The sequence below is a fragment of the Homo sapiens genome, chromosome 17, assembly GCF_000001405.40.
Source record: "Homo sapiens chromosome 17, GRCh38.p14 Primary Assembly".
In the NCBI taxonomy this organism is placed as follows: Eukaryota; Metazoa; Chordata; class Mammalia; order Primates; family Hominidae; genus Homo; species Homo sapiens.
The window spans coordinates 15,976,560-15,999,712 of NC_000017.11; the positions used below are offsets into that span (position 1 = coordinate 15,976,560).

Consider the following 23,153-nt stretch of genomic DNA (forward strand, 5'->3'; position numbering starts at 1 on the left):
TTTCCTGAGTAGCAGAAAAGTATTGATAAATTTTATCTGTTGCACTTTTTAACAAAACAAAAAGCATCTGCCAACCACAGAACATTGCAACACCTAGGCCCTGGGCTTTCCCCCAGCATTCATTCACTAGCACCTCATGTTTTGGGGGCACAAGCACAGGGCTTTCTTAGGCTGTAAAATCACCTATATCATCTGTCTGTCCACTGCTTCAACTCCTTCTGCAGTATCCCTGCAACAATATTACATGCTTATGAAATGCTGCAGACAGGGAATTCCTGTCCTTCTAGGATCCTCTTCTGGCTGTGGGCAGCTTTACCATAAGTTCTTGTCTTCTTATGCTGAAATTGATTTCATTTTCATCTTCACGTATTATTGCTTCTTTGCTCTCTCGGTGTCCAACTGAGTCTCATCGCTCTCCCTTCTAATACTCCTTCTGTCATCTATTTTGTCTTTTCTTCTTCAGACTGAAAATCCCTGGTAGTACCTGTAGTTTCCTTCCAGGACACGATTTTTAGTCTGTTCCTTCAATTGCCCTGTTGTAAAGATCAGAAGTGCAGAGTGAAACCAGTTCTTCCCTTGTTCTCGATACTAACTCTCAAACAATACAGTCTACTTAAGCTGTTTTGGCACAAGCATCACAGATATTTGAAGCTTACAGAAACCAGAACCTCTAAGTCTTTTCATACCTGCTACTGTTTAGCCACATCTCTGCTCTGATCTTCTGTTGCTGCTCAATAGTTTCCTGGACCCAAGGAAAAGAACTGACCTACTCGTCGAAACTTCATCTTACTGTTTGGCCCACCATTCCAACCTTTTAAAAATTACTAGTAATTCAGTTAGTTACTTAAGACTAAATAGGGTCAGGCGCAGTGGCTCATGCATGTAATTCCAGCACTTTGGGAGGTCGAGGCGGGCAGACCACTAGGTCAGGAGATGGAGACCATCCTGGCTAACACGGTGAAACCCCATCTCTACTAAAAAAAAAATACAAAAATTTAGCCGGGCATGGTGGCGGGTACCTGTAGTCCCAGCTACTCGGGAGGCTGAGGCAGGAGAATGGCGTGAACCCGGGAGGCGGAGCTTGCAGTGAGCTGAGATCACGCCACTGCACCCCAGCCTGGGCGACAAAGTGAGACTCCATCTCAAAAGAAAAAAAAAAAGACTAAATAATGTGGACACAACATGATATTAGGCTTTATTTGAATTTAAAATCTTGATTCCATCCAGGGACATTTTTTACCGAAGCGTCTCAGAGACTGGCTCAGGGTATTTCTTGACAAGACTGTACAGGGCTTCTCATCATACACAAACCCTCCACAGCCCACGGCTCCAACCCACAGCACCTCCTGCAGTCCTGGAGGGAAAAGGGACAGTAACATGAAGTGTCTGAAGATCCATTTCACCTCTTTTCCATGTGAATCATGACGCTTTCAATGCATTTCTTGACAGGATTCTATTTTGAAAGAATGATGCTCAATCTGTACCTTTTATGCTTCTTGTTTCTTCTCCATCAATAATATGTCAGTCAACTGCTTGTCAGAGACACTTAGCTGCTGACAGGTCCTCATAACCTGACTCAGGTAAACTGCCAAGAGATGCTTGCACTGGAATATAAAACACACACACCTATTAGAAACAGGCAGGGCCAGGGCTGGCCAGTCTAACCAAGATTTCTCATTACCATCTTATTTGGCAGGAGAAGACTAGAGCATACAGATTACGGGGTCTCTAACTGATTGTCTAAAAAGTGCAGATGGGCCGGGCATGGTGGCTCACACCTGTCATCCCAGCACTTTGGGAGGCTGAGGCGGATGGATCACTTGAGATCAGGAGTTCGAGACCAGTCTGGCTGATATGGCAAAACCCTGTCTCCACTAAAAATACAAAAATTAGCTGGGTGTGGCGGTACATGCCTGTAATTCCAGCTACTCAGGAGGCTGAGCCATGAGAATCGCTTGAACCCAGGAGGTGGAGGTTGCAGTGAGCCGAGATCACGCCACTGCACTACAGCCTGGGTGACAGAGCCAGACTGTCTCAAAAAATAAATAAATAAAAACTGCAGATAAAGATGATGAGACAGGAGTATTCTCTTTAGAAATCAGAGTGGACACAGACTTACTTTGCCTGCTGCTTTGGGAAATGGCTTAGATCCATCAGGCACAAGGTATGTAACCCATGGTGAAAACCCAGACTACCTGCACTCCTCACGTTAGTCCTAAGTTATATTTCTTCCTTGCCTTCAGAAAGCTGTCACAGCAATGGTTAACATTCCTTGAGGCACTAGGCTGTGAAGTGCTTCTCATAGATTATCTCACTGAAATCTGACAGCTCCCTAGGAAGACAGGTATTGTAACCACATGCTCATCAGAGTCTCTAGGCTACTCTCTCTTTTTTTTTTTTTTAATTTTAATTTTAATTTTTGTTTTATTTATTTATTTATTTATTTTTATTGATCATTCTTGGGTGTTTCTCACAGAGGGGGATTTGGCAGGGTCATAGGACAATAGTGGAGGGAAGGTCAGCAGATAAACAAGTGAACAAAGGTCTCTGGTTTTCCTAGGCAGAGGACCCTGCGGCCTTCCGCAGTGTTTGTGTCCCTGGGTACTTGAGATTAGGGAGTGGTGATGACTCTTAACGAGCATGCTGCCTTCAAGCATCTGTTTATCAAAGCACATCTTGCACCGCCCTTAATCCATTTAACCCTGAGTGGACACAGCACATGTTTCAGAGAGCACAGGGTTGGGGGTAAGGTCACAGATCAACAGGATCCCAAGGCAGAAGAATTTTTCTTAGTACAGAACAAAATGGAAAGTCTCCCATGTCTACTTCTTTCCACACAGACACAGCAACCATCCAATTTCTCAATCTTTTCCCTACCTTTCCCTGCTTTCTATTCCACAAAACCGCCATTGTCATCATGGCCCGCTCTCAATGAGCTGTTGGGTACACCTCCCAGACGGGGTGGTGGCCGGGCAGAGGGGCTCCTCACTTCCCAGTAGGGGTGGCCGGGCAGAGGCGCCCCTCACCTCCCGGACGAGGCGGCTGGCCAGGCGGGGGGCTGACCCCCCCACCTCCCTCCCGGACGGGGCGGCTGGCTGGGCGGAGGACTGACCCCCCCCACCTCCCTCCCGAATGGGGCGGCTGGCCGGGCAGAGGGGCTCCTCACTTCCCAGTAGGGGCGGCTGGGCAGAGGCGCCCCTCACCTCCCGGATGGGGCGGCTGGCCGGGCGGGGGGCTGACCCCCCCACCTCCCTCCCGGACGGGGGGCTGACCCCCCCACCTCCCTCCCGGACGGGGCGGCTGGCCGGGCGGGGGGCTGACCCCCCCACCTCCCTCCCGGACGGGGGGCTGAACCCCCCACCTCCCTCCCGGACGGGGCGGCTGGCCGGGCAGAGGGGCTCCTCACTTCCCAGTAGGGGCAGCCGGGCAGAGGTGCCCCTCATCTCCCGGACGAGGCGGCTGGCCGGGCGGGGGGCTGACCCCCCCACCTCCCTCCCGGACGGGGCGGCTGGCCGGGCAGAGGGGCTCCTCACTTCCCAGTAGGGGCGGCCGGGCAGAGGCGCCCCTCACCTCCCGGACGAGGCGGCTGGTCTAGGCTACTCTCTTAACTACTGTGTTATACTTCTGGGGTTGGGGGGCGGGGAGTAGTGGCAAAACTCTTGCATATATTGGCCTGTACACACCTCTGGGGAGATGATTGCGTTGAATCTGATGTCAGAGAACACAGCTTTAGATCTTGAAGGGGTTTTGGTTCAATCCTGTCTCTTGCAGTTGAGATACACTTAGGGCACATCAGTTACGAATGTGGCCTCTTGGACAATGCTATACCCAACTTGCCAGCCAGGTCCCAAGATGTTTAAGAAGTTAACAGTGTAAAAGAAAGGGAAAGAATGGAGTGGACATCATTATTTTCTTCTTTCGCAAGACTTAGAAAACAGCTGCCTGCTTTCAGGAAGGTAGTGTTTTTTCCTTTGGAATAAGGTGTGTGTGAGTATGTCCTGTTTCTGCTTCATGGTCTGGACTCTGATGAAATTGGCAAAGGCTTAAAGGAATAGGTGAAGGTACTCATGCCCCATGTGAAGGTCAAGTGTGGTGTCAGGCTGTCTCACAGGTAGTGCAAAGATATACCACATGGCTGAAAGTAGGATATGCAAAGTTGTCAACATCGAATTTAGTTCATATTTTTATGGGGCCATCTAATTCCCCAGTGCCCACTTCTGGGATTCCCTTTTTTTCCTTCTCAAAGCTTCACTCATGATCTTTTACATAAAAATTCAGGAAATTGATGCAGTTCTAAAAATGACATTGCATTTTGAGAGGCTAAACCCCTAAGAGGTGACTAACTGAAGACAAAGACAAAAAACTACCATTTGTTTCAACATATAATAAGATTCCCATTTTGTAGAATAGTTAAACCACAAAGTAAGGGCAATTTCTCTCTACATTCAACTACAGTGGGAAGAGTCTTCCCCATCCTCACCAGGATGCTGTCACTCTTCCGTAGCACTGAGAATGCAAATGCAGGACATGAACAGTAATGACAAGAAGCCAAACATGTGTATGTTTTACTGGAACTTCCAAGGACCTACAAAGAAAGGATAGATGGGATCAGACCTCAGATGTGCTGGAAAAACCACCTCTTTCCCTTTTTATTTATGTAGACTCAGAGTTGCTCTGCAAATTGCACCGAGAAGAACTGCAGTAATGTTTTACATAAAAGAGGAAACAACTTCTCTTCCTCCAGTGTACAGACTCTCCCTTCCTCACCTCTCAGTGCTCACCTTTAGGACAGCATATAAAGGAACTGAAGAGTTTCAGATTAGTTCAACCAACCACATAAACCATTCTGTTCCTACGCCTAGTGATTCATGGGGCCCACTCTATGGGCTGACTGTAATAAGAAGGAAGTGGGGGGGGGGAATCTCTCATCTACATTTTATTGTGGGGGTTCTTAACCTTTGGTATTTCACAGCAGGTGTATAAATTTCTAAAGCTTCCTACATACCTAAAGAGAGAGTAAAAACAGGCAAAGGGTCAGTAGCAGGGCAGGAGTAAGATAAGTCTCAGGCCGGGTGTGGTGGCTCAAAGCCTGTAATCCCAGCACTTTGGGAGGTCGAGGTGGGAGGATCACTTGACCCCCCCCAGAGTTCAAGACCAGCATGGGCAACATGGTGAGACCTCGTTTCTATAGAAAAAAAAATTTTTTTAAAGTCAGGTATGGTGGCACATGCCAGTAGTCCCAGCTACTCAGGAGGCTGAGAAGGGAGGACTGCTTGAGCCTGGGAGGTCAAGGCTGCAGTGAGCTGTGACTGCACCACTGCACTGCAGCCTGGGTGACAAAGATCCCATCTCTAAAATAAAGATAGGTCACAGAAGAACAAAAGAAGAAACTGGGAAGAGGCTTTTGAAAAGCATTTGAGAGCAGAGAGAATAAATAAAGCAAAGACCCTTGCGAAAGGAATGACTCAGCTGTTCAGGATGGAGGTCTCAGGAAAAGAGGCAGGCCCAGATCTGCCTACTCATCTAGCAGGATGGAAGGAGGACACTGATACATAGTGGGTTGATAAGAGGCACAGTCTAACAGTCTTGGTGGTGGTCAAGAGGGACAAAAAGGAGAGGTACAGGAGAAACAAGACACATCTGTAGTATGATCGCACAAATTTGCTGGAGAAATCCTTTGTTTAAGTCTCTCTACCACCAAGCAGCCAAAAACTTTTTGTTGAGGTCTTCATTCCTAGAGTTAACTTCCCACCTGGAGGCGTAAGATTATTATTAGTATCTGAGGGAAGCAGAAATGTCCTGAGGGTGATTTTATAATGAACTGCCACTTAGGAATTTGCCACACAGCCTTCAAAGCACTTTTAGGCTCTCAGATGGCAATCTAAATGAAAAAGCAAGGACTTTTAAATTTTTTTTGAATTACAATGTTAGCACTCCTAGGATTCTTTAATCTTTCTTACCCACAGAGAATAAAGCTACAGGTATGGTTTGACTGCAAGAACAAACAGCAGGTTCCACTGCTGTGCTTTTGTCACATTTTCAGTGGTTCATATAATGCAGTTATCCCAGTACAGCTTTTATTAACATTTTTTTTTAATTTTTGTTTTTTGGAGACAGGATGTTGTTCTGTCATCCAGGCTGGAGTACAGTGGCAGATCATAGCTCATTGCAGTCTTGAATCCCTCGGCTAAAGTGATCCTCCCACTTCAGTCTCCTGAGGAGGTAGGAGTACTGGTGTGCGCCACCACCCTATGCTAATTTTAAAATTTTTTTTGTAGAGATGGGGTCTTGCTATGTTGTCCAGGCTGGTCTTTAACTGCTGGGCTTAAGTGATCCTCCCACCTTGGCCTCCCAAAGCACTGGGATTACAGGCATGAGCTACCACACCCAGCCTCAGTATGGTTTTTTGACGCAGTCAGAATTCCTCGGGAGATTTTAGGTTACCAGAAATAGCCAATGATTGGGTAAGAAGATGCCTACTGAACACATTCAAGATTTCAGTTCAGGCCGGGCATAGTGGCTCACGTCTGTAATCCCAGCACTTTGGGAGGCTGAGGCGGGTGGATCATGAGGTCAGGAGTTCAAGACCAGCCTGGTCAATATGGTGAAACCCCATCTCTACTAAAAATACAAAAATTAGCCAGGTGTGGTGGCGGGTGCCTGTAATCCCAGCTACTCAGGAGGCTGAGGCAGGAGAATCACTTGAACCCGGGAGACAGAGGTGGCAGTGGGCCAAGACTGCATCACTGTACTCCAGCCTGGGTGACAGGGCAAGACTCTGTCTCAAAAAAAAAAAAAAAAAAAAAAAAGATTTCCACCCAGTTACAAATTAGGTGTTGAAAAAGCACACCTTGCATATTACCTACTGCAAGGCTCTGATGTGTTATGAACATATCACCGAGACCATTCAGTATCAATGGAGAGATTTCCCCAGCATGTGTGGAAGCTTACACTGAAGGAAGAGCATTAAAGCAGATTGTTTTCTACTTAATCCTAAAGAAAAAACCCACAACATCCAGCAGTGACATGTATAATTCTTTTTTTTGAGACAGAGTTTCATTTTGTTGCCCAGGCTGGAGTGCAATGATGCAATCTTGGCTCACTGCAACCTCCACCTCCTGGGTTCAAGCCATTCTCCTGCCTCAGCCGCCTGATTAGCTGGGATTACAGGCATGTGCCACCATGCCTGGCTAACTTTTGTATTTTTAGTAGAGATGGGGTTTTGCCATGTTGGCCAGGCTGGTCTTGAACTCCTGACCTGAGGTGATCCACCCGCCTCAGCCTCCCAAACTGCTAGGATTCCAAGCATGAACCACCACTCCCGGCCTATAATTCTTGGGTGTCTAAACTATTACCAATGAATACAACTTTAGGTTTCTTCTCCCTTTAGTTATCTCGTCTCTTCTCTCTAGATTTAAACTTAAGCAAGCAGAAGCCTCTGGGATTCTGTACTGACTAGAATAATTCACTGCTTCCTTCTTATTGCGAGTCCCCGTCCATCATAATCCTCCCTGGATCATGCTGAATAAACAGCTGGTGACTTGAGATGGGGAGAAATTCTACAGAGTTTCCTTGCCTGAGCCTTTCAAGGGCTAAGACTCAAAATGTTCAACTGCCTAAAGCAATAAACACCAAAAGAGGTTAAATTTCGAATTTGCTTTTCGCTTATCTAGCAGTGGACAACTAATGAACCCAACAATCAGGCAAAATCTGAGTTAGAAACATTTAGAACTGGAAATTGACCTTAAGGATAACATAATTCAATTCCTTCACCCTTCAGTGAAAAAACAACTTCCTCTTACAGGAATTGCTCCTAGTTTTCCCGCTTATAGTCTGGAATGTTTATCCCCAGAAGGAGAGAGCTTTTTAAAAAAGGAACATGCTGGAAAGAGGATACTCAGACCATGGCTGACAGAACTTGTAGGAACCTCACTTGGAGGTGGTTTCTACTGTGGTTCTACTGTGGTTTCAGTTAGGTCGCAAGGAGAGGTGACCCATCTACATGGTCATCCATTCATGGGTACAGTTTTATTTTATGACCGCTCCAAGCCTCTTAGGACACTCCACAGTGTCTTTGTTATTGTTCCTTGTGTTTGGTGCTTCTCTCTGAAAACAGGATTATACATTCCTGGCCTGTTAAATACAGGCTGGCCATGTGACCTGCTTTAGTAAAATCTGAGTAGCCAAGCGAAAAATGTTAAAAATTGTGTACCATGTTTTCCTTTTTCTCTTTGAGATTCACAGTGTTCCAGATATGGGCTGCTTTGCCCACTGGGATCCCTGCATGAAGCTGTTTTGGAACAGAGCTACAGCTGGCTCCTGGTGGATACACAGCATGAATGAGATCTAAAACTTTGTTTTTGTAAGCCTTTCAGATTTGGGGTCATTGATACCACAGCATAACTTAGCCTCTCCTGACTGAAACATCCTCCTTATTAAGTGAATCAAAAAAGTATAAAAAGTGGCCAGGAGTGCAGGCTCACGCCTGTAATCCCAGCACTTTGGAAAGCAAAGGTGGTGGATCACCTGAGGTCAGGAGTTTGAGACCAGCCTGGACAACATGGTGAAACCCCATCTCTACTAAAAATACAAAAACTAGCCAGGCGTGGTGGTACACACCTGTAATCCCAGCTACTCAGGAGGCTGAGGCAGAAGAATCACTTGAACCCAGGAGGCAGAGGTTGCAGTGAGCTAAGATCATGCCAATGCACTCCAGCCTGGGCAACAGAGCGAGACTCTGCCTTAAAAAAAAAAAAAAAAAATTATAGAAAACAACTCAGGTGTCAGCAACATAACAATGACTTTAGAATTATTTCACATTACATCTGGAGAACAATAATATTAGAGTTGACCTATGGGATGAAGAATGACCTATGAAAAGATAACTAGCTGGGCACTAAGGCAGTATGTGACTCAACTTTTATCATCTCATACAACTCCTGAATTCAGCCAAATTCTTACTATATTACCATACAATGCAACCATTAAGGTTAATTTGAGGGTGTATAAGATTTCTACAGCCTCATTTAATTCAAAGTCCAAGATGACAGCCACAATTCTTGGAAGTTAGTATTTTATAATTAATAAAGCAATGTAATATATACCAGATGTGAACGACAAAAACTAAACCAGTGACTTAAGTTACTGTTGACCAATGGGAGGAACAAAAAGTCAACAGTAATTAAACTATTTCAAACAAAAGTCTACTTGCCAGGTCAAGTATTGTGCCCATAATGGAATCAAGACCAAATATCCCAAACTAAAAGCAATGGGAAAAACTTGAAGGTCCCTCTAGTTTCGGGTATTTTAGCTACCTAAAAACCAAAAATAAAAACACCAGGAAAGAGGACAGACACACCTCCTCAGGTACAAACTGCAAGTTCAGTGACTTTGATTATTCCTAAGTTCTCCATGAGAAAATTCATCTAATAATTGGCAGTCTCTTTTGAGTAGGACAATACCATCCAAGTTTTTTTTTGTGTTTTTGTTTGTTTGTTTGTTTTGAGACAGAGTTCTGCTCGTCACTCAGGCTGGAGTGCAATGGTGCGATCTCCGCTCACTGCAACCTCCTTCTCCTGGGTTCAAGCAATTCTTCTGCCTCAACCTCCCGAGTAGCTGGAATTACAGGCACCTGCCACCACACCCAGCTAATTTTTGTATTTTTAGTAGACACGGGGTTTCACCACGTTGGCCAGGCTGGTCTTGAACTCCTGACCTCAGGTGATCCACCTGCCTCGGCCTCCCAAAGTGCTGGGATTACAGGCGTGAGCCACCACGCCTGGCCATCTTATTTTAGTTACAAAAATTTCTGGAGGATTTTGTTAAGTGAAACTATGCTAAGTGAAATAAGCCAGGTACAGAATGACAAATACCACATGATCTCACTTATATGTGGAATCTAAAAAAAGTTGAACTCATAGGCTGGGTGCAATGGCTCATGCCTGTAATCCTAGCACTTTGGGAGGCTGAAGGGGGAGGACTGCTTGAGGCCAGGAGTTCAAGACCAGCTTGGGCAACATAGCAAGACCCTGTCTTTATTTAAAACAAAAAAAAAAGTTGAACTCATAGAAAAAGAAATAGTGGTTACCAGGGGCCTTGGGGTGGGGGAGGAAGAGGAAGATAAGGAGATATTGGTCAAAGGGTACAAAATTTCAGTTAGGAGAAATAAGTTCAGGGTATCTATGGTACAACATGGTGAATATATTTAATAACAAAGTATTGGCGGGGATGGTGCTCATACCTGTAATCCCAATATTGTGAGAGGCCAAGGTGGGAGGATCGCTTGAACCTAGGAGTTTGAGACCAGCCTGGGCAACATAGTGAGACCCTGTCTCTATAAAAACCAAGAAAAAGACTGAAGTACTGTATATTTGAAGATTGCTAAGATAATGGATTTTAAGTGATCTCACCACAAAAAAAGAAGTATATAAGGTATTAGATATGTTAATTAGCTTGATTTAGTTATTCTACAAGGTATCCATATATCAAAACATCATGTTATATACCATGAATATAGACAGTTTCTGTCAGTTAAAAGTAAATAAAAATTTTAAAAAATTATCAATTCGTTAATTTTACCAAGTTGGGGCAAAAGCCTTTTAACAGTCCAGGAAATATTTAAAGCTAGTCAACAGCTTCTACAGAGATGAAGAACATTTTGTCCTAAGGGGTTTCTGTAGGGATCACCCCCATCTCTAGACTTCTACCTGGTAAACACGCCTTCCACTGGGTGATGAGATTAAGGTGATGGACTGTCGATCAACTAGGTCCAAGGCCTGGGTGGCTGATGAGCCAAAGAGAAACTTCAGCCTGTGAAATAAAAACACTTCAGATTAGAAGGCCTGATTCTCAAAGTCACCTCAGTAACTTGCCCAAAGGATCACTAGACTTAGTATTTTTTAAAAATTCATTTTAATTTTGAAAAAAGGAAAATAATACAGCAAAACCCATGGACCCATTCACTCCCCAGAATTAATGTTAATATCTTGTGTACTTATTTCAGATCTTCTTGTATTATGTATATATGTGTGTGTGTATATATATTTATTTATTATTATTATTATTTTTTGAGATGGAGTTTTTCTTTTGCTGCCCAGGCTGGAGTGCAATGGCGCAATCTTGGCTCACCGTAACCTCTGCCTCCCGAGTTCAAGCGATTCTCCTGCCTCAGCCTCCCAAGTAGCTGGGATTGCAGGCATGTGCCACCACACCCGGCTAATTTTGTATTTTTAGTAGAAACAGGGTTTCTCCATGTTGGTCAGGCTGCTCTCAAACTCCAGACCTCAGGTGATCCACCTGCCTCGGCCTCCCAAAGTGCTGGGATTACAGGTGTGAGCCACTGCGCCTGGCCTGTATTATATTTTTAATAAAGGGAGTAAACTGTTAGTGATAAAGAAGCCCTCTTTATACTTCTCTGTAGTGCATCCTTCTTCCTACCTTCCCCTTATCCCTGAGGCAAGCACATGCATTTGTTGGTTTCCTTCCTGTTAATGTGTTCATATTAAATATTATATATAGAACATATGTATGCACACATACATAACAAACACACGTGCATAGATGTATGCATATACATATATAGTATTGTTTTAAAACATAAAAGGTATATTGTAGGCTTCTTTTTGCTGTTCCTGAAATAGCTCATGAAAAATAAAAGAAAATATAAAATATCGTAGACTTCTTTTGGCAACTTGCATTTTTTTACTCAATGCATTTTTGAAAATGAGGCATGTTGACGGACATTTATTTTTACTTTACCTTTGAATAATATTCCATTATATGTATACACTGAATTTTATTTAAGTACTCTATGTATGGACATTGTTTCCATTTTATACTATTATAAATAATATTCAATTATCCCCATACATGTCCCTTGGCATACATCTCTGAAAATCCCCCTTTAGTTTATGTAACTAAAGCATATGTTCATTTTCAACTTTAATAGATATTGCCAATAGCTCTCCAAAGTGGAAACAGGAGTGGTGGCTCATGCCTGTAATCCCAGCATTTTGGAAGGCTGAGGCAAGAGGATCACTTGAGTCCAGGAGTTCAAGACCAGCCTGAGCAATGTAGTGACACCCCATCTCTAAAGAAAAAAGAAAAAAAAAAACTAAAACACACAAAAAAGTGAAAACAGCACTCCCACCAGCACTGTATAAGACTTCTATTTTCTCAGGCCGGGCGCGGTGGCTCATACCTGTAATCCTAGCACTTTGGGAGGCCGAGGCAGGCAGATCACCAGAGGTCAGGAGATCGAGACCATCCTGGCTAACATGGTGAAACCCCGTCTCTACTAAAAATACAAAAAATTAGCCGGGCGTGGTGGCACACGCCTGTAGTCCCAGCTACTCAGGAGGCTGAGGCAGGAGAATCGCTTGAATCCGGGAGGTGGAGGTTGCGGTGAGCCAAGATCGCGCCACTACACTCTGGCCCAGGTAACAGGGAGACTCCGTCTCAAAAAAAAAATAAATGAAACAAACAAACAGAAAAACCAACTTCTACTTTCTCCATGTCCCCACTAACACCAGTATTATCAGGCTTTTTTATGTTGCCCATCTGAAGATAATAAATGTGTACTTTTTGGATTAGTAATAAGGCTATCCAACTGTTAAATGATATACAGGAAAAAACTTTGATATGTGAGAAAATTCTTATAATATTAGGTGAGAAAGGTTGAAGACAAAATTATATTTTAGGAACTCTCAAGCATGTTAACTTTTTTAAAGGAAACCTACAATTATGTCAAAATTAAAAGTTTAATTTTTTTTTTTTTTGAGATGGAGTCTCACTCTGGTGTCCAGGCTGGAGAGCAGTGGCACAATCTCGGCTCACTGCAACTTCTGCCTCCGGGGTTCAAGAGATTCTCCGGCCCAGCCTCCTGAGTAGCTGGGATTATAGGTGCAGGCCACCATGCCCAGGTAATTTTTGTATTTTTTAGTAGAGATGGGCTTTTGCCATGTTGGTCAGGGTGGTCTTGAACTCCTGACCTGAGGTGATCCCCCCGCCTTGGCCTCTCAAAGTGCTGGGGTTACAGGTGTGAGCCAGCGTGTCTGGCCTTTTTGTTTGTTTGTTTTTTGTTTTTTGAGACAAAGTCTCTCTCTGTCACCCAGGCAGGCTGGATTCCAGTGGTGCAATCATGGCTCACTGCAGCCTGAACCCCCTGGGCTCAAGTGATCCTCCCACCACCTCAGCCTCCCTAGCAGCCGGGACTACAGGTATATACCACCACATCCAGTTAATTTTTTGATTTTGTGGAGACAGGGTCTCCCTGTGCTGCCTAAGCTGGTCTCAAACTCCCAGCCCCAAGCGATCCTCATATTACAGGCGTGATCCACCATGCCTGGCCAAAATTTAATTTTTTGAAAAGGCAATAAACCGGCCAGGCGCGGTGGCTCACACCTGTAATCCCAGCACTTTGGGAGGCCGAGGAAGGTGGCTCACGAGGTCAGCAGATCGAGACCATCCTGGCTAACACGGTGAAACCCCGTCTCTACTAAAAATACAAAAAATTAGCTGGGCACGGTAGCAGGCACCTGTAGTCCCAGCTACTTGGGAGACCGAGGCAGGAGAATGGTGTGAACCCGGGAGGCGGAGCTTGCAGTGAGCCGGGATCGCGCCACTGCACTCTAGCCTGGGTGACAGAGCGAAACTCTGTCTCAAAAAAAAAAAAAAAAAAGCAATAAACCAAAATTTAAGAGTGATTATTACTGGGTGGTATGATTATTGATGCTTTTTATAGGTTTTATTTTCCAATAAAAGTTTTTTATAAGTGTGGGTTATTATTATTATTATTATTATTACTGAGTTGGAGTCTCACTGTGTTGCCCAGGTTGGAGTGCAGTGGCACGACCTCTGCTCACTGCAACCTCCACCTCCCAGATTCAAGTGATTCTCCTGCTTTAGCCTCCCGAGTAGCTGGGATTACAGGCGCATCCCACCTCCCAAGGTGCTGGGATTACAGGCATGAGCTACCACACCCGGCCTAAGTGTGGGTTATTTTTATAAACTAGAAAATAAAATGGCAGGGTTAAACTCAAACTGAAAAGTTAATGTTTTAAAGAACTTATATGACTTAACACAGAGTAAGACAAACCTAGTAAGGCTTCAAAATTAAAATGTTCAACTTCTTACTTCATTTTCCAACAAACCAGCCACATATACAACAAATTATTGGGGGAAATAGAAAAGAGTGCTTTGAATTTTTATATTAAACATATGAAGATTTAGTCTATAAAATAACAAAATACAAAAAACAATGAAATAAAATTTGTCGGGAACCTTACCAATCAATCTCAACAGTTACCTTTAAGAATTTTTTTAAGGCCAGGTGTGGTGGCTCATGCCTGTAATCCCAGCACCTTGGGAGGCCAAGGCAGGCGGAACTCCTGACCTCATCATCCACCTGCCTCGGTGTGTGCCACCTGTAGTCCCAGCTACTCAGGAGGCTGAGGCAGGAGAATCACTGGAACCTGGGAGGCAGAGGCTGCAGTGAGTTGAGATCGCGCCACTGTACTCCAGCCTCAGTGACAGAGTGAGACACTGTCTGAAAAAAAAAAGAATTTTTTTAACCTGCTCTGTCCACTTTAATACCTACTGTGAACATCTCTTGAATGCATTAAAAATTTTTCCATATCACTTTTAATGGTTACAAATAATTCTACTGTAAAGATGAATCATTTTTATTCTCCTCAAACTCCATGAATTGTTAGATTGTTTCTATGTTTTATTGCTACCATAAACAATACTGGATATTCATCACACTGAGAATATCCTCACTGTAAAATCTTTACAAACATCTATAATTACTTCCTGGGTATATGTTCTTTTATGTGGAATTTCTGGGTCAAAGAATATGTATGTTTTAAAGTTCCTATTGCCTGTTACCCTGCAATTTACATTCCTGTTATAAATGACCCCTTTCCCCATATTTGTGTCAACTTCTTTTCTGTGGTCACTAATTTTCTAGATGAAAAGTTATGTTATGTTAATTTGTATTTTTGTGGTCACTAGTAAGATTTGTCTTTTTCCTCCCAAAGGATTCGGCTATTTACATCTTTTATTCTTTGCCCTTTTGTTTTTAAAGTAGTACATTTTTTTCCAGTAATATTTAATTCTTATTAAAAATTTAAGAAATACAGTAAAGGTTAAGGCCGTTCCCTCAATTCTACCTCCTTCCTTGCCCCAAAGAAAAAACACTGGTAGAGCTTGGTATATATTCTTCAGAACTTTTATTTTTTTAGAGACAAGGTCTCACATCACCCAGGCTGGAGTGTAGTGGCACAATCATAGCTCACTGCAGCCTGGAACTTCAGGGCTCAAACAGTCCTCCTGGGACAGGTTTTGTTTTTTTTTGTTTGTTTTGTTTTGTTTTGTTTTTTTTTTGAGACAGAGTCTTGCCTCTGTCACCCAGGCTGGAGTGCAATGGCATGATCTCAGCTCACTGCAACCTCTGTCTCCTGGGTTCAAGCGATTCTCCTGCCTCAGCCCCCCGAATAGCTGGGATTACAGGTGCCTGCCACCATGCCCGGCTAATTTTTGTATTTTTAGTAGAGACGGGGTTTCACCATGTTGGTCAGGCTGGTCTCGAACTCCTGACCTCAGGTGATCCACCCGCCTCAGCCTCCCAAAGCGTTGGGATTACAGGCGTGAGCCACCGCACCTGGCCAGGATTTTTAAATGTAAGTGTGTATCAGTAATTAAGTATTACTTATACCTAGGTAGCTTTTACTTTTTTGGTCTCTGCATTTTTAAAATAACTGACCACTCTATATTATTCTCATTTAAGTAGTTGTATCAACTGCAAATAATGATAATTGTCTTTCCTTGCAGATAGGTACATTTGTAATTTCTTTTTCATGTGTTAGTTGAACAGCTACGCTTTTTTTTTTTTTTTTTGAGATAGAGTTTCGCTTTTATTGCCCAGGCTGGAGTGCAATGGCATGATCTTGGCTCACAGCAACCTCTGCCTCCCAGGTTCAAGCAATTCTCCTGACTCAGCCTCCCGAATAGCTGGGATTACAGGAATGCACCACCATGCTTGGCTAATTTTGTATTTTTAATAGTGACAGGGTTTCTCCATGTTGGTCAGGCTGGTCTTGTATTCCTGACCTCAGGTGATTCGCCCGTCTCGGCCTCCCAAAATGCTGCGATTACAGGCGTGAGCCATTGCGCCCGGCCAACAGCCACAATTTTTAAAACAATGTTAAATAAGAGTGGCAAATATGACAATACTGGATATGGTGTTGGCTATTCAATTGAGACAAATTTTTAAGAATCATGTCAAGAAAATATTATTCCTAGTTTCTAAGAGTATTTTTTATTTTTTATTTTTTTTGAGATGGAATTTTGCTCGTTACTTAGGCTGGAGTGCAATGGCACAATCGCAGCGAGATATGCAACCACAACCTCCCGGGTTCAAGCAATTCTCCTGCCTTAGCCTCCCAAGTAGCTGAGATTACAGGTGTGTGCCACCACATCCCACTACTTTTGTATTTTTAGTAGAGACAGGGTTTCACCATGTTGGTCAGGCTGGTCTTGAACTCCTGACCTCAAGTGATCCACCCACCTCAGTCTCTCAAAGTGCTGGGATTGCAGGTGTGAGCCACGGTGCCTGGCCTTTTATTCTATTTTTAAAATTATTTTCGTAGAGATGGGGGGTCTCCCTATTTTGCTAGAGCTGGTCTCGAACTCCTGGGCTCAAGCAATCCTCCTGCCTTTGCCTCCCAAAGTGCTGAGATTACATGTGTGAGTCACAGTGCCTGGTAGTAAGAATATTTTTATTTTTTATTTTATTTATTTATTTATTTATTTATTTATTTATTTTTGAGACAGAGTCTCACTCTGTCCCCAGGCTGAAGTGCAGTGGCATGATCTTGGCTCACTGCAACCTCCACCTCCCAGGTTCAAGTGATTCTCCTGCCTTAGCCTCCTGAGTAGCTGGGACTACAGGTGCCCACCACCACGTCCAGCTAATTTTTTGTATTTTCAGTAGAGATGGGGTTTCACCATGTTGGCCAGGATGGTCTTGATCTCCTGACTTCATGATCCACTCACCTTGGCCTCCCAAAGTGCTGGGATTATAGGCGTGAGCCACTGCGCCCGGTCAAGAGTATTTTTAAAAATCAAGAGTTGATGTTGAAAGGATTTTAACATTAATGGTTAAAAAAAAATCAAATACAACAGTATATGTACTTACGATAACAGATATTCATCAGGAACTGTAAAATGAGAATGGAAAAAAAAAGTTAATCATATTAAGCAGTGACCATTGACATAAAAATCTTAAAAAACACTGTAACTAAAAACACTTCCGTGTGTGATGGTCAACTGAACCTATGCATCTGGTTTTACTCCTTCCCCAAACCCCACTAAAACCATAATAAAAGGATTTCCTTTTTCTTTTTTTGAGACGGAGTCTTGTCCTGTCACCCAGGCTGGAGTGCAATGGTGCAATCTCAGCTCACTGCAACCTCCGCCTCCCGGGTTTAAACCATTCTCTTGCCTCAGCCTCCCAGGTAGCTGGGACTACAGGCATGCACTACCATGCCCAGCTAATTTTTTTTGGTATGTTTAGTAGAGATGGGGTTTCACCATGCTGGCCATGCTGGTCTTGAACTCCTCACCTCAAGTGATCCACTGGCCTTGGCCTCCCAAAGTGCTGGGATTATAGACATGAGCCACCGTGCCCGGCCAGATTTGTTTTTAAAAGTATGAATTCCAAAGGATGAGAAAGACAGGGAGAAACAACAGCCATGATACATTGGAAGCTGATAGAAGAGTGGAAAATGATTTATAAGACCTAAGAAAACTGAATCCTAGGCCAGCAATGGGGAGAGTCAAGCACCAGCCTGAGTTACACTCCAAAATCCACCTCTCCCCTTCCCCAAACCCTAACGAATTGGTGGCACCAAATAGCTTCATTAGGGGTGAAACAGGGATATGAAAATAAGACTCTTTTCGAGTACGTTTGAGAAGTAGTGGGACCCCAGTTCCCTCCACAGCTTTAGGTGACTGCCTTTCCCTCATTCTGGCAAGAGACTAGGTTTATTTTCTGGAGAGGTTCAAACACAGGCTATTTGGACTAGGGAAAAATACTAGGTACAGTGAAAGTCAGGGTGTCACACTGAAAACAGGATCTCCTGCTCTCTTCCCTAACATGGCTCCCATAACACAAGCAATCAGGCCTTCACACTTCAGCCAGGAGACTGGAAGTCTTCCCTAGGTATACCCCAAGAGAAGTGGGAATGACACTGAAATGGTTTCCCCAACTAAATAGCCTACTGAGAACAACTATAGTGACGTTCATATTCCGTAAGCCCCTCTACCACCCAGAGCTTCCAATATACTTTTTAGTCTTCCACTCTGAAATATGACTAGACAGCCAAGGGTTACCAGACAACAAAGGAAAAAGGAAATAGAATAAAACAAACAGAAGAAAGTTAGAGGAAAAACTGCAGAAAGGAGAAAATTTTAAACATCTATTACTAATATTTTATCATCAGAAAAAAGTTAATGCAATCATAAAACAGGCACAAAAACAGGCAGAAGGCATAATAAGAAGAAAAAGGGAATCTTCTGAAAAAAAGTTATAAATTAAAAATACATGGTATGTCTCTGTAGTTTCAGTTACTTGGGAAGCTGAGGCAGGAAGATTGCTTGAAACCAGGAGTCTGAGGCCAGCCTGGGCAACACAGTAAGACCCCGTCTCTCTTTTTTTTTTTTTTGAGACGGAGTTTCGCTCTTGTTGCCCAGGCTGGAGTACAATGACGCAATCTCGGCTTACCGCAACCTCCACTTCCCGGGTTCAAGCAATTCTCCTGCCTCAGCCTACAGAGTAGCTGGGATTACAGGCATGCACCACCACGCCCAGCTAATTTTTTTAGTAGAGACGGGGTTTCTCCATGTTGATCAGGCTGGTCTCGAACTCCCGACTTCAGATGATCTGCCCACCTTGGCCTCCCAAAGTGCTGGGATTACAGGCATGAGCCACTGTGGCCGGCAAGACCCTGTCTCTTAAAAAAAAAAAAAAAAAAAAAAGACAGCAGAAATTCAACAGAAAATCTGGAAGATAAAGTTCAAGAAAGTTCCCAGGAAGTAGAGAAAATATAAAAGCAACACAGAAGCCACAGTAAGTCAACCAGAAGGACAACAGAGGACATCCAGTAACTTAATTACAGAAATACCGGAAAGAACAGAGAAAACAGATGGAGGGAATTCATCAATCAAATAATTCAAAATTCCCCACAGCTGAAGGACATGAATTTCTAGCTTGAAAGGGCCCACTGTGTGCCCACACTGTGAAGTGAAAAAAAAAAAACTTTATCAGAAGATTCAGAACACTGGTTATGAAGAAAACATAATTCAAACTTCCAGAGAAAAAAAAGGTCACATACAAAAATCAGGAGTAACACTAGAAGCTAAGATGTAGTGGAAAAATGTTTTCAGATGTCTGAAGAAATATTATTTCCAACAAATAATTCAATACCTAGACAAACAATCACTTAAGTGTAAGGGCAGAAAAAGAACTTTTTCAGCCGGGCGCGATGGTCAGCCTGACTAACATTTAGTATCTCTACTAAAAATAGAAAAACTATTAGCCGGGCATGGTGGCGCATGCCTGTAATCCCAGCTACTCGAGAGACTGAGGCAGGAGAATCCCTTGAACCCAGGAGGCAGAGGGTGCGGTGAGCAGAGATTGCACCATTGCACTCCAGCCTGGGCAACAAGAGCGAAACTCCGTCTCAAAAAAAACCCAAAAAAACAAAAAAACCCCACAACTTTTTCAGACATAAGCCTCAAACAGGGGCCGGTGTGGGGGCTCACAACTATAATCCCAGCACTTTGGGAGGCCAAGGCAGAAGGATCGCCTGAGCCCAGGAGTTCCAGAGTAGCCTGGGCAACAAAGGAAGACCCGTCTCTACAGAAAATAAAATAATCAGCTGGGCATGAGGTGTGATTGCGCAACTGTACTCTAGCCTGGGGAACAGAGTGAGACCCGGTCTCAAAAAATAGAAAAGAAAGCCTCAAAAGGTACATCTCATGCCCCCTTCTTCAGGAAGCTGGCAGAGTCTGTGTGCCATAATATAAGGTAGTAAGCCTGGGCAACACAGTGAAACCCCGTCTCTACAAACAATACAAAAACTAGCTGGGCATGGTGGTGCACACCTGTGGTACCAGTTACTCAGGAGGCTGAGACAAGAGGATCTCTTGAGCCTGGGAGGTTGAGGGAGCAGTGACCTATGATTGTGCCACTGCACTCCAGCCTGGGTGACAGAGCAAGACCTTGTCTCGAAAAAAAAAAAAAAAATTTTACATGGGCCGGGTGCGGTGGCTCATGCCTGTAATCCTGGCACTTTGGGAAGCCAAGGCAGGTGGACCTCTTGAGCTCCAGACTTCGAGTCCAGCCTAGGCAACATAGTGAGACCTTGTCTCTACAAAAAATACAAAAAACTAGCCAGCTGTGGTATTGTGTGCCTGCAGTCCCAGATACTCACTTGGGAGGCTGAGGTGGGAGGATCATCTGAGCCTAGGAGGTCAAAGCTACAGTGAGCTTTGATCATGCTATTGCACATCAGCCTGGGTGACAGACTGTCTCAAAAAAAAAAAAAAGAGGTAGTAAACTGAGAAAAAGAAAACTGTAGGATATACTAAACATAGGACCCAACAAAGATACAGAGAATTCCCAGATAATAATGGTTAAGAGAGATCTCAGCAAACAGCCGAGAGATCAGCCAGTCCATATTAAGCAAGTCCGAAGGCTCTAGAGATGTCTTCAGGAAGGTGAAACTGATAACATACTTCGTTCATCTGAACATCTTGAGGGGAGATTGAGAACACTAGTAAAGGATGTGAGGTTAAAGTAGGAATAAATATGTAAAAAACTAAATAAGCACATAAACAAAACCAAGATAGTTGTAACTCCAGGGAAATCCAAAAGTTACAAAGAAAACAAAAAGTAATCATAGCTTCCTACATGGTTCCACTGTGACTAGTTTATATATCATCATACAAATAAAACTTGGAATCTTGATCTAAAAAAATTACCACTGAAGAATGGGGGTTAGGAAGGGTGCATAACTATATATTAATAGAAAAAAGATTTTGAAAAAGACAGAAAACAGGGCTTCTGAAAATAAACATGAATCAACAGCATTGGTTCCTGTGTCTGAACCATGGGTGTCAGGGGCAATGATTATGCCCCCTTCAGGACTGTCAATGTGTCTTGTGAACCTTCTTGTTGGAGGGAAAAAACCCAAAACTGGCTGGGCACGGTGGCTCACGCCTGTAATCCCAGCATTTTGGGAGGCTGAGGTGTCCGTATCACAAGGTCAGGAGTTTGAGACCAGCCTGGCCAATATGGTGAAACCCCGTCTCTTCTAAAAATACACAAATTAGCCGGGTGTGGTGGCATGCGCCTGTAGTCACAGCTACTTGGGAGGCTGAGGCAGGAGAATCACTTGAACTTGGGAAGCGGAGGTTGCACTGAGCTGAGATCGCCCATTGCACTCCAGCCTGGGAGACAGAGCAAGACTCTGTCTAAAAAAAAAAAACAAACCAACCCAAACTACTGTCAGTGTATGGATTAACCTATTCAGACACAGAACAGTTCTGGCGATTATTGTTTAAAGTGACAGCATTCCAAACCCTCAGGCCATCAAATCTGAGAGCCCAGAACAATTGTATAAGCTAACATCAGTTGGCTTTTTTCCCATCCTTTTTGGAAACAAGTATGTTTGAATACTTGGCTGCACTAATCTTTCAAGCACATATACTTAAGTCTCCTTAATTTTGACTGAGATGAGGAAACAAAGTTGGCTTATTTTTCTCAGTTCCTTAAAAACAGTAACTCAAGATAAACCCTTTCAAAATGCAGTACAGTACTTTTAAAACAAAAGCCATCCAAGTTGAATAAGCGATGGCAGTTTGGGGGCCTGATATGGCTGTTATTTATAAGGTGGCCATTTTTACATCCTAAGAGTAGTTCATTAGTCAATGCATTTTGAGTATATCAAATTTGATTTGATCTTATCCTAGCATACTCTGAACACATCTTGAGATCAACCCTTCTCAAGTGATTTTGGTGAGCATAGCCAAAGAGTACCCTCTGCTGGTCAGAAAAAAAATGGTGCTTTCACAATACCCAGATTTACTCCAACGATTGCATATGCATTTAGGTTTTGTGGCTCTTAAAATGCTTTTTTTTTTTTTTTTGAGATGGAATTTCGCTCTTGTTGCCCAGGCTGGAGTGCAATGGCGCGATCTCGGCTCACGGCAACCTCCGCCTCCCGGGTTCAAGCGATTCTCCTGCCTCAGCCTCCTGAGTAGCTGGAATTACAGGCGCCCGCCACCACGCCCAGCTAATTTTTTGTATTTTTAGTAGAGACGAAGTTTCACCATGTTGGCCAGGCTGGTCTCGAACTCCTGACCTTAGGTAATCCAACTGCCTCGGCCTCCCAAAGTGCTGGGATTACGGGAGTGAGCCACTGCGCTGGGCCTACTTTTTAAAGTGTATGGAAGCATTAACTTTAATGTTAACATCAGAATTTGAGAAAAAGAAGTTTAATAATTCAAAATTTCGTGTAAAATAATCAAGAACTCCACGTTTCTATCACTCACTGTAGGCTCCCGTCCCTTCCACCCCCGGGCGGGGACCCCTCCCAGCGACCCGGCCAGCTCTCAGCACTTCGGTCCCCACTGGCCTACTCGCTCCGACGGAGGGGCTCCTGCAACTGCGCTGTACCGTAAATATTTGCTGAATCGATTTGACTTTTACTTGTTCCAATTTCGCTTTTTTGTTGTTTTGTTTTTTTGTCTTTTTACGAACAAGAGGTTTAGAGAACCACATGGAAAAAAGGCAGGGCCAGGCCCGGACACCCCGCCTCCTGCCTCCCGGCCCGGCGGTGCCCGGATGCCCCGCCCGCGCCCATGGCGCAGCCACACACGACCTCGGTCCCGTACTTCGCGCGCTCTCCTGCACCGCCGCCGCCATCTCGCTCAGGAGCTCCTCCACAACCGCCGGCAACACTACGGCCATCGCGCCGCAGGACACGCCCTCCACGACCGGCGGACCGCCGCGACGCTCCAGCTGACTGCGCCTACCTGTGGAGGATCCTGACCCCCCGCCGGGGCAGGGCGAGACGGAGTGACGTCGG

At 44.1% G+C, this 23,153-nt stretch overlaps 1 protein-coding gene across 7 annotated transcripts, besides 5 other annotated features; it reads right to left on the reverse strand.

The window, feature by feature from the left end:
* On the reverse strand, nucleotides 1-23,145 carry ZSWIM7 (zinc finger SWIM-type containing 7). Of its 7 annotated transcripts, none has more exons than XR_007065263.1 (8): nucleotides 22,960-23,145; nucleotides 17,198-17,219; nucleotides 10,707-10,809; nucleotides 4,481-4,585; nucleotides 1,485-1,604; nucleotides 1,241-1,354; nucleotides 1,020-1,141; nucleotides 1-533 (listed from the first exon to the last, which is right to left on the reverse strand). XR_007065263.1 is itself a non-coding variant. In XM_047435364.1 (6 exons), exons 1-5 carry the CDS (start codon nucleotides 23,033-23,035, stop codon nucleotides 1,488-1,490), a joined length of 423 nt encoding a protein of 140 aa, XP_047291320.1. In that variant the 5' UTR covers nucleotides 23,036-23,145; the 3' UTR covers nucleotides 1-533; nucleotides 1,485-1,487. The 7 variants fall into 7 exon arrangements, 5 of the variants coding, with proteins under 5 accessions (XP_047291320.1, NP_001036163.1, NP_001036162.1 ...); XR_007065264.1 differs by having other exon boundaries at nucleotides 687-1,141; XM_047435364.1 differs by lacking the exons at nucleotides 1,020-1,141; nucleotides 1,241-1,354.
* Nucleotides 1,994-2,579: an enhancer, noted in NCBI's record as "NANOG-H3K4me1 hESC enhancer chr17:15881867-15882452 (GRCh37/hg19 assembly coordinates)". NCBI's record gives its function as "activates a minimal SCP1, AML or CMV promoter by ChIP-STARR-seq in naive H9 embryonic stem cells {active_cell/tissue: H9 hESC(naive)}" and the evidence as "EXISTENCE:reporter gene assay evidence [ECO:0000049][PMID:30033119]".
* Nucleotides 2,580-3,166: an enhancer, noted in NCBI's record as "NANOG-H3K27ac hESC enhancer chr17:15882453-15883039 (GRCh37/hg19 assembly coordinates)". NCBI's record gives its function as "activates a minimal SCP1, AML or CMV promoter by ChIP-STARR-seq in naive H9 embryonic stem cells {active_cell/tissue: H9 hESC(naive)}" and the evidence as "EXISTENCE:reporter gene assay evidence [ECO:0000049][PMID:30033119]".
* Nucleotides 5,544-6,233: an enhancer, noted in NCBI's record as "NANOG-H3K27ac-H3K4me1 hESC enhancer chr17:15885417-15886106 (GRCh37/hg19 assembly coordinates)". NCBI's record gives its function as "activates a minimal SCP1, AML or CMV promoter by ChIP-STARR-seq in naive H9 embryonic stem cells {active_cell/tissue: H9 hESC(naive)}" and the evidence as "EXISTENCE:reporter gene assay evidence [ECO:0000049][PMID:30033119]".
* Nucleotides 22,719-22,878: a silencer, noted in NCBI's record as "silent region_8213". NCBI's record gives its function as "represses an Ori minimal core promoter by ATAC-STARR-seq in GM12878 lymphoblastoid cells {active_cell/tissue: GM12878}" and the evidence as "EXISTENCE:reporter gene assay evidence [ECO:0000049][PMID:35858748]".
* Nucleotides 23,019-23,108: an enhancer, noted in NCBI's record as "active region_11746". NCBI's record gives its function as "activates an Ori minimal core promoter by ATAC-STARR-seq in GM12878 lymphoblastoid cells {active_cell/tissue: GM12878}" and the evidence as "EXISTENCE:reporter gene assay evidence [ECO:0000049][PMID:35858748]".

What these genes read in the sequence shown, in the direction of transcription:
- ZSWIM7 (XM_047435364.1), bottom strand. Translation starts at nt 23,035, where the DNA reads ATGGCCGTAGTGTTGCCGGCGGTTGTGGAGGAGCTCCTGAGCGAGATG. An exon ending in CCTGATGAATATCTGTTATC is followed by an intron (nt 10,810 to 17,197) that starts GTAAGTACATAT and finishes TTTATTTCACAG; the next exon opens with GCTGAAGTTTCTCTTTGGCT. An exon ending in GGAAGAGTGACAGCATCCTG is followed by an intron (nt 1,605 to 4,480) that starts GTGAGGATGGGG and finishes TTTATATTCCAG; the next exon opens with TGCAAGCATCTCTTGGCAGT.